A 15,369-nucleotide genomic window follows, 5' to 3' on the forward strand; every position below is an offset into this window, starting at 1 on the left:
AGCCCAACAGGCTGCAGCCTGAACTTGTTTGAGCCGTAAGCCCGAGCCTAGCGTCGCACGCTGGGCGACTCCCCTCAGGCTCTCAGGCCGGCGCCTTCGGGGGACCACGTAGCGCCCCAGCGGTGGCGGCTGCGCCCGGCTCAGGGCGGTGCCGCGGCCACTGGCTCCTCCTCGGGGTGGGGCGGGCCGCGCCGGGCGAGGGCGGGAGGAGGAGCAGCCGCAGCGGCGTGAGGAGCTGCCGCGCGAGGAGCGCGTCGCGTCCGCACTTCTCCTGCCCGAGAGAGACTGAGCCGCGCTGGCAGCTCGCGTCGAGTCGGTCTGCCCTAGCCGCATCCCGCGGCGCCCGGTCGGGCTCCGGGCACCAGGCAACACCTAGGCCGTTCCCTTCAGACAGCCCCGGGCCAGCGGCCCCCTCGGGAAATGTCCAGCGGCCGCAGAAGGGGCAGCGCCCCCTGGCACAGCTTCTCCCGGTTCTTCGCTCCCCGAAGTCCTTCCCGGGACAAGGAAGAGGAAGAGGAGGAGAGGCCGGGGACGAGCCCGCCTCCAGCTCCAGGCCGGTCCGCTGCCAGGTGGGAGTCGAGGAGGGGGTCGCGGGGGGGCCCTGCACATATTCGCGGGATGAAGGCTCCCGGCCTGACCGCCGGCAGCGGGCCGCTCTTGGGCCAGGCTGCAGTTCGCTCGCCACTTTCTGTTCTCCTTCCTCCATTGCTAAAGTTTCCTCCTCCTTGCCCCGTTCCCGTGCCGCACTACTCGCCTCTCCTCTGCAGGTTAAATCGGGGTGAAGTTCTTGCCCGGCAGCCGGACGCATATCCCCCGATCCCCGCCTGGCTCCGCGCTCTTCCTTTCCCACTTTCCCCTGCCCGGACGTGATTGGGTTCCCGTTCCACACACGCTCTACTCTCCAAGTTCTGTGGCAAAAGCGATTTCCCCGGCGTCCCGCCTGCAGTAATGGGAAACACTTGTGAGCCGAGCGGAGCCGTCGGCCAGGGGAATTGGGGGCGCGATCCCAGCACCACTTGTGTGGGAGGAGATCGGGGCAAAAGTGGAAAAGGTAAAGCTTTGGGGCGTCACCCCCTCAGCTGGTATTTTTGCCATCTTATTTAAATTTTCTCAAAATGATTTTTAAAAGGAATTGTGATAATGCGTTCCCAAGACTTTCACCAAAATGGACTGGACATGTAAATGACGCCACCCTTCTTTATTTCTCATCTCTCCTAGAAACATCTGCCTCAAGTTCCCAAACAGATTCTGGAAATCAGGTTTCCAGCTGTCTTGGTTTCAGTAATCAAAATGTACCCTTTCTCTGTAATATTTTTATCTTTCCTTCACTTTCCCATGTTCAAAAATCAAAAAATTTTAGACATGCCTCATTTAAATGCCTGTTTCTGAGTCTTTTCATCCCCCCGAAGAAAGAGGGGTTAAGTAAAACGCAGCTCGCTTTCTTAAACTTATGAGAGGCTTACACTGTCTTCTCCCGAGATTGCACTAGAATGACCATTGTCATTGGAAGGACACACTCCAGAAAACCGTGTTTACTTCGGACTCAAGATTTCCTGGTGGGCTTAAAAAAAATGGATAGGAAACAGAACTGAGAGTGAGCCAATTCCATTAGTATTCAGATTTTGTGATGTGATTTTAGTCGTTTGTGTGTTCCTCGGTTTCCCCGCTTGTGAAACATTTTCATTATGACCGTCTGTTAATAACATGCCACATGTTTCCAAGAAAGCTCCTACGATAATTGAGTGGTTATTCTCCTGGGACGTTTCAGCTATTATTGCTCTGACTGTTGAGAGTTTAAAATTCAAAGTTACACAGAAGTTAAAAATAGTTTTTAAGTCTGACAGATCTCATCCAGGGTGTCAGCTAGTTCTGTTGGTGTGGGCAGACAGCCTGTGGTGCCTGCCACCGCCGTAACAGCACTAACAGTCTTGGATAATATGAACGCAGTCTGCAAGGAAATCCCAAGTAGGCGCAGCAAAAGTTGGGAACTTGAGAGTCAGTGTTAGAAAGGAGTAAGCAGGTCAAATTCAGGCTCATGTCAGTAATGGCCTGAAATCCTGCTTGCCTCTCTGCCCTATTTTGGCTTTTTAAGGCACTTCTCAATTCTAATTTCTTTACTGACTGGAGCTGACCCCTCCAGCAACTAGTTCCTTGTTCACCTACCACTTCTCTATTCTCATCATCTCCAGATTGGCACAAATTATGGCTTTTCAACGATGAAGATTTTAATTGTGCTTATATCAACGCTAATTTTGTTCTCATCTTTTTTGGAACTTGCCAGATGTTAGGGGGATAGCAGATGACCCTTTATGTGGGTGTTTTACTGTTTTAAATGAGCTTAAATCTTTCATTTCAAGGGCATAAACAAACACAAAGCCTTTATTGAAAGTTTAATAAAACAAATGGAACCGCTTTATAGTACTGAATGTCCCAGTAACACAACACCCTGATGTTAACAAGATTGGAAACAGAATTGCAATTTGTCACTGTGATCTTATTTCAAAATGAAAGAGTATTTTGGCTATTTCTCTTTGTGGGCATAAAAACTTTTATCATTATGAGAGCTGGGTATACCTTCTGTAGTGATGATTTTAGATGAAGAGGAGTACAAAATTAAAAAATAAACTAAAACATAATTATGAGACCCGTAAAAGTCGAATTTACAACATCCTGAAACTGTTTTTTTGCCTGCTCACAAAATGCGTACTGGGACAAACACCAGGTCTTTGGGGAGCTGCCATGCCTTGATACAGGTCTTCCAATATTTTACTGTTTTGAACCATAGGAAAATCTTTGTTTTTATGGTGTGCTGTGATTTATATGGGCTTCAGTTGGTGACAACACTTCATTATGTATTCTTTCTTTGTCACAATTAAAGAAGGCCTATTAGCATCAACACTATTGTATATCCCAACTTAGGCGTAGGCACTCAAATTGCTTGATTGTACTCATATTAGGTGGTTGACCATTTCCAGGAAATGCTTATATTAATTTATTTTAGATGATAAAAAGGAAAACTGCAATTGAAGTTTTCATAGGAAACTCAAAAACTCCCAGAGTTCTGTGGATCCCAGTTTGAGAATCACTGGTGCAGTGTTAAGCCCAGTTTATAAGCATACAAGGAATGGACTCATTAGAAGTGATAGGGGAGACCAGGAAGTGCTTCCTGGTAGGGATGATTTTAACTGGGTCTTCAAGGAATTGGTGATGTTTCTATACAAAGAGAACTTAGGAAGAGAGAGAATAGGGAACAGGTATTCCGGGAAAAGGCATTCCAGACTGAGCAAAGGCCTGCAAGGGGTTTATGATCTGTTAGGGGATATATACATTAATGGGACAGAGTGAAAGGAGCAGTAAGAAATTTAGGTTGGAACTGGGTTATAAAGGTCTCTAGACAAAATGTTTGGCTCTAGATTTAAGGCTCAGAGAATTTTTGCAAAAGCCTGTTATACAGATATTGCTGAAATATGAAACTTGGAGGAATTCCTGCCTTTATCTGCTTCAAGAAATGATTGCTCAACTTTGTTTCTTGGCTGTATCATGCATGATGGACCTGTTTAAAATGAGTTCTGTGCAATGTTTGTAACTGTGAAGAGAGATGGTAAGGTGAGAACAGTATTTATCAAGGGCTGACTGTGCACTTACTTCTGGGCTGGGTACTTTTACTTGCAACGTATCATGTAAATCTCACACTCAGTGTGAAATGTTGGTCCACTTTTACGATCTGACAATTGAAGAAACTGAGTTTGGGAGAGTGCTCAGTGATGGATGCTATGGGCGTTTTGAATGGAACAATTCTTTGAACTGGACTCTTTTGTCCTTTGCAAGATGTTTGGTATCCATGATTACACACACTAATTGCCAGTAGCATCCTCTGGTCATTGGGATAACTGAAAATTCCTCCACCCAGGTGGGTGGGAGGGAGAGTGATACCACTCCCAGTGGAGAGTGATTACCCTAAATCGTGAGAGGAGGTGAATGGGTGGGACCAGGCTGCTAATGAGCTGTGGTGTAGGAGGTACTCTGTACTGTCAGAAATGTCAGTAGTACTTCTGATGACCAGCATGGGAGAGCTATTGGCCTTCAGGTTAAACTACCAGTGTTGACAACAGCATCAGTTATGTGAGGAAAGGAAGCTTTGTTTTCTAAATTGTCATGATGATTGCATTTTTATTGATTTGAAGCACTAAAAATAATTGGTAACTAGTTAGTTGGATAGGAGATACCTGTGTCACATCAGCAGTTCATGCCTTCAGTAGTGAAGATGACGAGAGAATTCCAGAAGTCTTTAGGGGTGTGTAATTTGTGAGAATCTTGTCCCCCTCTGCTCCTCTAGGTTAATTCAAAGCAAAAGCTTACTCTTGGCAGCAGAGTCAAAATATAGCCTGTTGTAGGGTATCAAAAGTCCACCTTTTCCAAGTGATTTCCATCTCTTGGGTTCAATAAGGTGTCTACCAGATGGCTAATTTGGGAATTCTATTTTTTGCTGTGAACATTCCTTGGAAATGGACTCAATTGTATGCTCTGAAAGTGTTAAAGTTGCAAAGGTACCACAAATTGACCTGCAGTAAGTTTATATAATCAGAACTTCTAACTTTATTGACAGTTATAACATTTTTAAGTTTTTTTACTCATAACAGCGGAAAATATGTAAAAAGGGTAATAGCAAGTTTTGTAAAATAAGAGAAAATATTCCCTCAAGACAAAATATTTTCTATCCAAAGTTCTGATGAAATATACCAAAGTCCAGATATAAGAAACGTTAGTTACCAATTATTAAATAAAATGATAGCAACAAACTGTAGGTGGTTGTAAAATTAAGGAAAATAATCTAGGCTATATGCTGAAAAGAAGGAATCAGCATGAAGTAAAAGTTAAGGAGGTAATACCTACTTTGAGTCTGTTCAATCCATAAGTTAGAGTGGCTGCTTTGTGTCTCATATGGTGCAAAGCAATGTGGATATAACCATAAATGGATGACCAAATATGCCTTCATAGAATTCACACATTAATGGAGGAGATAAAAGTGTACATCTCTGTTCTTAATATGAACTCATTATAAACCAAACATGTCTTTGGAGTGTGTGACTTGTTTCGTTCAGAGCATACTTAATGTTTCACGAATGTCATACGTTGTATGAGAACTTTAACTGGGCTTTCAAAATATGTTCTCACATTATTAACTTTTCTCCAAGCATGGTTTGGTTAGCTTCCTTTGCCAAGGCAGCATAGTGGGGGAAACATGATAGTAACTGCACCATCAAGGTGAATGGAAATGCTGCCCCTTGGTTCCTCTTGCTTTCCTCCTTGACCCTTCAGGCTTTGCAAGTCCTGGATAGAGGCAGAAAAGGGCATCCCTTCGGGAATCAACATTCCAAAAAAGTGGCAGTGCTTTTTTTTTGATGGAAAGAAGTTGAGACAGGATTGCTAGACCCAAGGTCAGGGGCTTTGTCTTCATCTTTGCGTCCCCTTAGTTCAGGTGAGGAGTGACTGTTGATTGGAGCATTAAAGGACTTATTAGTAACATTCAGCTAGGGGTGGTACCCTCCCCAACCTTCAAGTAGGCACTTAGAAACACCAGGAAGGTTGATGCTGTTAGAGAACAAATCGAAGTTTTTCCACTAGTAATAAGTCATTCTTAGTGTTTATTTGGCAGTTGTACGTGGCCAAGTAATGGTACAACTCCATCCAGCAGGACTGTCCCTGAATGTTTTACTTACTCCCAGGAGTTTTTAATTGGAAGTATGCTAAAGCACTGAAACAAGAGCTTAACCAAGTGTGTGTTTGTTTTCTTTCTTCCTAATCAATTAATGATGACAAAAACAAACTAACCTTTATTAAGGCCCTACCCTTTATTAAGGGTACCCTTAATACCCTTTATTAAGCCCTGAGCTTGGAACTTTAAAAATATCAATTCACTTAATCCTCAGAGCAAACGTATCTTTACTCCCTTTTACAATATATAATTTAAGGCTTCAAGAGGTTCAGTAGGTAATCAAAAGTCTCACAATATTGGTAGTAGAGTCAAGAGTCAAGTTTTCCTTCCTGAATTCAAAGCCTACAGCATTATGTGACAGCTTCCTCCGCTTAACTTGGGAAGACTCGTAAAAGAAGGCTGCCCTTAGAAAATGGTTTGGAATGGAAATAAAAGACAATGGCATGCAGCTGGACATCTGCCCAGATGGACTGGGTCAGAGCTATGGACAATCAAGAATTATACTCCTGAGAGTTGGGAGAGGAAAATAAATGCACACATTTATGCAGGTTATAGATTTATATTTAAATACAAAGAAAGGGTCAGTCTCCTTCAAAAGAGAGTTTCAGATGGAAACCATAGCAAGATACCATATTCTACCTATTTGATAAGCAAAACTCCAGTTTCATGTGGGGAAGCTGGAACTCTTATACACTACTAGTGGGAGTATAAATTGATACACCACTTTGGAGAGAAATTTGATATGACCTATCAATATTGCAGATTCACATACTCAGCATTTCTGATTTCAGGGAATTCCACTGAACATGTACAGTTTGCAAACAGGCCAAAAGTTGCCTATAGAAGTTAGTCATTGCAGCATTGTTTTAATAGCAAAAGATGAAAAATAGAGTAGAATGCCATTCAATTGTGGACTAACTGATAAATCACAGTACATCCATATAGTGAAATATGATGTATCTACCAAAAAGAATAGGAAAGCTTTTTATGTACTGTTAAGGAAATATCTCCAAGATACATTAAGTTAAAAAAAAAAAAAAAAAGCCGGGCGTGGTGGCTCATGCCTGTAATCCCAGCACTTTGGGAGGCCAAGGCGGGTGGATCACCTGATGTCAGGCATTTGAGACCAGCCTGACCAACATAGTGAAATCCCATCTCTACTAAAATACAAAAAAAATTAGCCGGTGTGGTGGTGCTTGCCTGTAATCCCAGCTATTCCAGAGGCTGAGGCAGGAGAATCTCTTGAACCTGGGAGGCAGAGGTTGCAGTGAGCCAAGATCGTACCATTGTGCTCCAGCCTGGGCAATAAGAGTGAAACTCCATCTCAAAAAAAAAAAAAAAAATAACAAAAACAAACAAACAAACAAAAAAAAACTTAAGCTACAACTAATTGTGTATAGTATGCCCCATTTGTATATACAAAAGAAGGGGATATGAAATAAATCTGTCACTAGTGTTGCATAACTTATTTTGGGGGTATGGGGAACTGAGTGAAGGGATGAGAGGCAGGAGAAAGACTGTCTTATGCCTTTGTACACTTAAAAATTATGTGAATTACCTATTTCATAAAGTAAGAAAAAGATTGGATTAAAATCTGGTGAATACCTGTGGCTAAAAGAAGGAAAAAAAAAGAAAACAAGAGAATGTATGATCCTGAGTTGGCAAAAATCCTCCAGAGAGAGAATGCACTACATTAACTTATTCAAAGGGGAAAAGTTTCAGTTAAGGATATAAATAAACAGAAGTAGTTTTTGTAATGCAGAGTAATTTGATATTTTGACACTTTGTACAAGTAGGAGTGAGACTTTTCTATATTATTAATCTCTAATGTGAAACTGGGTGGAGTTGACACTTGCAGCCACAAATATATCAACATAACTCATTTTTACGTGCTCACCTGTCACCCACCTTGACCTCTCCAGTATGACCCAGGACAGGTTATTAACCTCAGAGTCTTTAGTGATAAATCAAGGGAGTTGGTTTTCATCTCTAAGGTCTCTCTCAGCTTTAGCGTACCAGCCAAAACTCCATGGGCTATTAAGTGTGTACAAAATTGATGTGCCTTATAAATTAGAAAGATTTATATTTTATTGGAAAAGTCACATATGAAAATGCTTTGGTTAATTCTTCCATGTGATCCTAACATTTTGGTTATTTGATTTGAAAGCTTCACCTGTGTTTAAAAAGAATTAATTTAGTGTCGCTGTGTCAAGCACCAGTCTAGGTCCTGGGAATCCAGCAGTTAACAAGGTGCAGCATTGTCTTTGCCTCAAAGCATGCATGCAGTTTTGTGGGGAAGGCAGACATTGCCCAAATCTTTCTTCTCTCTTGAAATAAGTACCAAGGTAACATGTAGGGGACTGTAGGAGCATTTAACAGATGTGAGCCCATTTTTGAGGCTCTCAGAGGAAACTTTAATTTTTTTTCAATCTCATTTAAGCTGTTTCTCCTGGAACATGTGTCTAAGTAATGTTTTTCTGTTCTTGGTTTATAAACTTTGGACAATATATATTGACCTCTGGTAGATGAGCACTCAGCTATTTTATACCCTTCCACATCTCATTACTCATCCAGCCAAAATAATCATTATAAATGGAAGATTAAATAAACCTGTAGATTTCTATGAATATTTAGCTGTTGTTTTCTGCTAAGCCAAGTGCTGTACTATGGTTACTTTCTTTGTGTGATATTTTGTTTTTCATGGAGTAAATTACCTTGTTTTTCATTTGCTTATTGCTGCTACTTCTAGGATGCACAAATACATTTATAAAACCACTTTCAGTGCTTTTTTCTACATCATTAAATCACATCTACCAGTTTACCCCATGACTTCCAAGACCTTTCTCTTGGTCTCTGTGTCTTCCTGTAATTTGTATCATCTAGTAGTTCCCAAGCTTGCTGTATTGATCTCTCTACTACTCAGCCCTATGTAAGACCACCTATTTTTGGACTTCACGTATTCCTCTTTCTTGGTTAACTCCTCCTTTTGTTGGCATATATCTAACAAACAAGGGTACATGTTAGATATTTTTTTTGTCTTTGCACTTCTGAAAATACATTTTTCTACTTTAGTAAATGATAGTTTGGGTATAAATTTATAGACTCAAAATTACTTGCACTCAGATTTCTGAAGACATTTCTCTATTAGTCTTCTCTTTAATTCTGGATTGTTGAGAAATCTGAGGCTAGTACGATTTCTGGACCTATTTTTGTGATTCATTTTTTCTTTGTGAATTTTGAAATCTCTCTTCAGTGTAGACTCTACAAATGCACAGTAATGTACCTTGCACAGTGCCTTTTAAATTCATTTTGCTGGACAGTTGGCAGGCTCTTTCACTTGAGAGGCTTATATCTTAACGATTTAGAATGGAGAGTTTGGCTCAAGCTCCCTGTGTGTGGTCTGTGCTTTCTATACTTTTATTCTTGGTATTCCAGAGTCTGGAGGCTTCTCTTTTTAAAAATTGCTAGGCTCCTGCCAAATGTTATAATTTGGGGATGTGAGTTCACTAAGAAATCAACTGACAAGAGGCAGATTAATAGGAGAAATGACATCGAAATTTATTAGCATGCAGGGGGAAAAAATTGATTACCAAATATCCCAGTAGGGTAGAGATGCTTATATACCCCACCTCTTAAGAGAGAGGGAAGTGGATGATTTTAGGGGAATAGTAAATACTTTTTATGGGAACTCACTGGGCTTGAAGAACATAACAAAGGCCTGGGACAAAGTCTGTTGGGCCCACAGAACAGACAGTGGTTTATGACAAAAGTCTGTTGAGATGTTATGACAGACTTCAGTCTTTCTTCTTGTAATATGATTCAGTTAATGAAAACTAGGGAAGGGACTAGAGGTAATTGTTTTTTTCTTTGATGGGTCCAAACTTTAAGCAGATAAGAGAACTTCAGAGAACAGAACTTCATTCTGTGCTTTGGGAGAGACAGAGGATCAAAGACAAAAGACGAAGGTGGGATTCAGAGAGACCTTGAGGCTGCTCAGTTCAGCATGTCAAAGTGCCATATTTTGGGGTATGGGATTCTGAGTTTTTATCTATTCTTTTTTGTAAAAGAATTATTGATACATAATTATTGTACTGTTTATGAAGTGAGTATATGATATTTTGTTACATTCATGCAATGTGTAATGATCAAATCAGGGTTTTTAGTATATCACTTCAGCTTAGCACTTCACTGTTAGAGTGGGGGGGATTACCGTTAACAATAGTATACTTTAAAATAGCTAGAAGATAACATTTGAAATGTTCCCGACACAAAGAAACGATAAAAGTTTTATTTATTCTAAATTATATTTCTTCCTGTTTTTCTCTCCTTCAAAAATCTCATCTGTCCTGAATGCTGTTATTCTTCGTCTTTTTTTTTAACCTGATAGCTTATTTCCTCTTATTAATTGCTTTACCATCGTTTCCATGGGACAGAGTTAAACATGTGTTCACCTATATGCTTTTGCTAGAAATAGCTAGAAAATCTTTGCAATTATCATTGTTTCCAAACTTTTTAATTCTTTGAGTATAAATTGAACTCCATAACCTAACCTCTCAATGATGGCTATGAGGAAATAATTGCTTGCTCGTTGATAGGAAGAATCGATATTGTGAAAATGGCCATACTGACCAAAGTAATTTATAGATTCAATGCTATTGCCATCAAGCTACCATTGACTTTCTTCACAGAATTAGAAAAAAAATACTTTAAATTTCATGTGGAACCAAAAAAAAAAAAAAAAAGAGCCCATATAGCCAAGACAATCCTAAGGAAAAAGAAGAAAGCTGGAGGTATCATGCTACCTGACTTCAAACCATATTAGAAGGCTACAGTAACCAAAACAGCATGGTACTGGCACCAAAACAGATACATAGACCAATGGAACAGAACAGAGGCCTCATAAATAATGCCACACATCTACAACCATCTGATCATTCACAAACCTGACAAAAACAAGCAATGGGGAAAGGATTCCCTATTTAATAAATGGTTTTGGGAAAACTGGCTAGCCACATGCAGAAAACTGAAACTGGACCCCTTCCTTACACTGTGTACAAAAATTAACTCAAGATGGATTAAAGACTTAAATGTAAGACCTAAAACCATAAAAACCCTAAAAGAAAACCTAAGCAATACCATTCAGGACATAGACATGGACAAAGACTTCCTGACTAAAACACCAAAAGCAATGGCAACAAAAGCCAAAATTGACAAATGGGATCTAATTAAACTAAAGAGCTTCTGCACAGCAAAAGAAACTATCATCAGAGTGAACAGGCAACCTACAGGATGGGAGAAATTTTTGCAATCTATCCATCTGACAATGGGCTAATATCCAGAATCTACAAAGAACTCAAACAAATTTACAAGAAAAAAACAACCCCATCAAAAAGTGCACAAAGGATATGAAGAGACACTTCTCAAAAGAAGACATTTATGCGGCCAATGAGCATATGAAAAAAAGCTCATCATCACTGGTCATTAGAGAAATGCAAATCAAAACCACAATGAGATACCATCTCACATGTTAGAATGGTGATCATTAAAACATCAGGAAACAAGAGATACTGGAGAGGATGTGGAGAAATAGGAATGCTTTTACAATGTTGGTGGGAGTGTAAATTAGGTTAACCATTGTGGAAGACAGTGTGGCGATTCCTCAAGGACCTAGAACTGGAAATACCATTTGACCCAGCAATCCCATTACTGGGTATATACCCAAAGGATTATAAATCATTCTGCTATAAAGACACATGCACACGTATGTTTATTGCAGCACTGTACACAATAGCAAAGACTTGGAACCAACCCAAATGCCCATCAATGATAGACTGGATAAAGAAAATGTGGCACATATACACCGTGGAATACTATACAGCCATAAAAAAGATGAGTTCATGTTCTTTGCAGGGACATGAATGAAGCTAGAAACCATCATTCTCAGCAAACTATCACAAGAACAGAAAACCAAACACCACGTGTTCTTACTCATAAGTGGGAGTTGAACAATGAGAACACATGGACACAGGGAGGGGAACATCACACACTAGAGCCTGTTGTCGGGTTGTCAGGGGGTGTCTAGGGGAGGGATAGCATTAGGAGAAATACCTAATGTGATGACAGGTTGATGGGTTCAGCAAACCACCATGGCACGTGTACACCTATGTAACAAACCTGCATGTTCTGGACATGTATCCCAGAACTTCAAAGTATAATAATAAAAAAAATTGCTAAAAGATTACAAAACAGAGGTTTTTCGCTGTCATAGTCTGTGTTCTGTGCTATAAAGGAATACCTGAGGGTGGGTAGTTTATAAAGAAAAGGGATTTATTTGGCTCAGGATTCTGATGGCTAGAATGTTAAGATTGGGCATCTGCATCTGATGAGGGTGTCAAGCTGCTTCCACTCATGGTGGAAGGTACAGGAATCACTTGGGAAGAAAGGAAACAAGGGGTCAGGATGTGCCAGGTTCTTTTTAACAGCCAGTTTTCCTGGAACTAACAGAGTGAAAAATCACTCACCACCACTCCAGGGAGGGCATTAATCTATTCCTAAGGGATTCACCCCCATGACCCAAACACCTCCTATTGGGCCCCACCTCCAACACTGGGGGTTGAATTTCAACATGAACTTTGGAGGGGACAGACATCCAAACCATAGCACTTGCATACTTATAAAATCAGATATGCTTTATAAGTGCTGATTTCACGTAAGCTGTTGGCACAAAAATATAACCCATTGTAATAGGCAGAATTCCAAGATGGACCCTAGTACAGTTATAGAAAACAGTTAAGGAAAAATATTTTCTATGTTCTTTATGACAAACAATACAAATGGCAATGTCAGAAGTGACATGAAAATGGTATTTGGGTGGTCTCACCAATATTTGTTTTATGTAATTTTTAGAAGATATAGTAGAAATTTTTACCTTTCATATTAAAATGTATACAAAAGTGGTTTCTACCTCAGTGGCAGATCATAAATTTCTTGTAACTACTATGCTTCTTATGACAAAGAATGAAATGTTTTGAATTTGATGTTTTAATAACTGGGGACAAATTAGGTGAGATGTAAACTCTCTTGCCTTTTATTGTCTTGTCAAAGCACAAAGGAGCATTCACAGGATGGAAGGATGGCATTGTGCTTTTTATCAGTAAAAGCTGAAAATGTGAACTGTAATTATGGTGTTTCATTGTTCTAAGTAGGCAAATAAAAAATTTTTGGCAATGTTGCATATATTATGATGCAAAGGAATTAACATTAGGTAATATTTGCAGTATTCGTATTTTGTTATTTAATTGCTTGCATTTTTTGCACTCACTTGTTTTTGCTTTCTTTTTCATCAACTATGCTACTTTGTATTTTTTCTCTTTTTGATAGTAATATTTGCTTTTACAAAACAGGTATAAAATTATAAGAGGACGAAAAAGCAAAAGCACACTCATAACCCTACCCACTCAGAAACATATATCATTCTTTCAAATGATTCCCTATGGGTGTGTCTAAATATGTCTTCATGTCTAAATATTTTTATAAAAGTAAAAGTTCTTCTTCAAGAGTTTGGAACTTGAATTTTTTTCACTTAACAATAGTGCTCTAACATTTCTGACAATAATGCGTATATTTATATGTTGTAAAAATAATTTAAAATATAATTATTAGAACAACTTAGTCGTGTCATCACTTTTCAGAATCTTGTTTGCATGTCTAAATGTGTCTCTACTTACATAGGGTTGTATTCTAATGGGGAGGGCAGAAAATATATAGATTAATATATAATATGCTTTGAAGTAAAAATAAAATGGGGAGGGACTCACCATAATGGAAGTGGTGAGTCTAGGTAGGGTGGATATGAAAGGTGTCTCTATTGGGTAGCATTTGAGCAAAGACCCAGATGATATCCGGGAGTTGGGCATGAGCAAGTCTGAGGAAAGAACTTTCTGGGCAGAAGGAACATTCACTTAGAAGGTCCTGGGGCACAATCATGTGGCACAGATGCCAGTGTGGACAGAGACACAGAATTAGAGGAGGAGTGGGTGTTAGTAACATGGTGTTAGTTCATAGTAAGGAGTTGAAATGAAATGATGAGTTTACTTTTGGAAAGTATCACTGGGCATGTGTTTATATGTGTGTGTAAATGTGTTTTTATATCCACACATATATTATCTGTTTATCTGTGTCTGGAAGAATTTACAGAGGAGGAAGGATTTCAGTTGGGGGGGAGGTCAGCCAAGGTCAGATTCTGGGGAGCTCTGTGAGGGCACAGTCTTGGGTCTCCAGTGCGCTGTCTTCAGGACAATTTGTTGAATGATATGTGAATGAATGCTCCATTTTAGAAAGCAGCTAAAATACTGTTGTGAGTTCACATCACAGCGAGGGATTCAGGGTATTGAATCTTGTGGGGGTGAGTCAAACATTCAGAATCTGAAGGTTATGAGGTGGACGGAGAACTTGGGGAGAATGGAACAGTCATTCACAACACATGTACTGTAGACAGCTCAGGCACACCTCAGACGTACTGAGATTCTCACTCTGCAGCCTGTGATTTAACTGTAATTATGGGTCTTATTTTGGGGGCGTGAGTTGGGGAACAGGAAATAAGTCAGCCTCAAGGTAGATACATAAATTATAGGAGAGGACTGACCTTATAGAGAAAAGGAGTGTCAGAAGTCTCAGACTGTGAAGCAACAGAGCCTCATAATCATGCCTACCTTTCCTCTCTCCTCCTGATTTTTCTCTAGAGTTTTGAAATCATTCAACTGCCAGATGTTTGGGCTAAAATACATACTGTTTGAGTGCCTTAAAATTGCAGCTTTTAGTTACCTTTTAATTTGAAGCCCAGAAATAGTGCCATAACCACCTGTTTTATATTCCGTTAATAGCCATTAAAAAAAATACAAGTACCACTCTTCTGCTGGCAGACACCATTTGTGAATGGACAGTTTTCCAGATGGTGGTTTGGAAATCATTGGTGTGGAACTCTGTCTTTTTCCCCATAGCATTGGACCTGCCGGATGGGACTCCAGGCCAGTGCACGAAAGTCAATTTAATCCATAATGTATCTGCAGTATAGCTTTGAGCAAAGAAAATTATAGAACTTGTCACGTGAGGCTGTGTTTCTAAGAAAAATATCCCAAGGGTAATGTAGATCCCATGGCTTGAGCAGACCCTTTGGGAGGGTGTGAGGATGAAGTCCTTGCTGTATTTAAGGGCCTAAAGGAGGGCTGAGAGGTGGAATCTGAGGGAATAGAGGGCAGGCCCAGAGCGAGCCTCAGTAATTTTGAAATAAGGGACGGTAGACATTTCTGCCTCTTTGTTATAATGCCCTCATACTAGTTTTGGTCTAAGTTGGTTTCTTGGCCATAGTCTTTCTCATCTTTTACCAGAAAAGCCTCAAGGTTGGTCTACCTGTTTTTTTTCCCACTCATTCTTCTGTTGTAGAACACAGCAATGTGGGATTTTAGATCTGACAGAGATCTCATATCAGCTGGTCTGAACCTTTTTAATTTACATAGTTGTAAAATCAGATCCAAAAACGTTCATTTTGACTGAAGTGCATTTTGTCCTCAAGGTGCTGTCTCTGAAACAGACAAAAGTTCATTCTGAGTTGTTGCAAAGCATTTTACTACTTATGACAGTGGGAGAGGGAGTGG

The 15,369-nt window shown here is 40.0% G+C and overlaps 1 protein-coding gene and 1 long non-coding RNA gene across 6 annotated transcripts in view, besides 1 other annotated feature; one reads left to right on the forward strand and one right to left on the reverse strand.

The window, feature by feature from the left end:
• Positions 2 to 371: a silencer, noted in NCBI's record as "silent region_14552". NCBI's record gives its function as "represses an Ori minimal core promoter by ATAC-STARR-seq in GM12878 lymphoblastoid cells {active_cell/tissue: GM12878}" and the evidence as "EXISTENCE:reporter gene assay evidence [ECO:0000049][PMID:35858748]".
• CRYBG3 (crystallin beta-gamma domain containing 3) overlaps positions 225 to 15,369 on the forward strand; it is a 122,974-nt gene continuing 107,829 nt past the window's right edge. For all 3 annotated transcript variants that reach the window (NM_153605.4, XM_005247117.5, XM_047447439.1), the window contains exon 1: positions 225 to 569. In NM_153605.4, coding sequence (NP_705833.3) covers positions 421 to 569 — 149 coding nt within the window. In that variant the 5' untranslated portion in view covers positions 225 to 420. The remainder of the gene's footprint in view (positions 570 to 15,369) is intronic.
• The window catches only part of LOC105373994 (uncharacterized), a 36,261-nt gene continuing 36,099 nt past the window's right edge, over positions 15,208 to 15,369 (reverse strand). For all 3 annotated transcript variants that reach the window (XR_007095970.1, XR_007095971.1, XR_001740811.2), the window contains one exon: positions 15,208 to 15,296. This is a non-coding gene — a long non-coding RNA (uncharacterized LOC105373994). The remainder of the gene's footprint in view (positions 15,297 to 15,369) is intronic.

Source organism: Homo sapiens, chromosome 3 (assembly GCF_000001405.40).
Source record: "Homo sapiens chromosome 3, GRCh38.p14 Primary Assembly".
Lineage (NCBI taxonomy): Eukaryota > Metazoa > Chordata > Mammalia > Primates > Hominidae > Homo > Homo sapiens.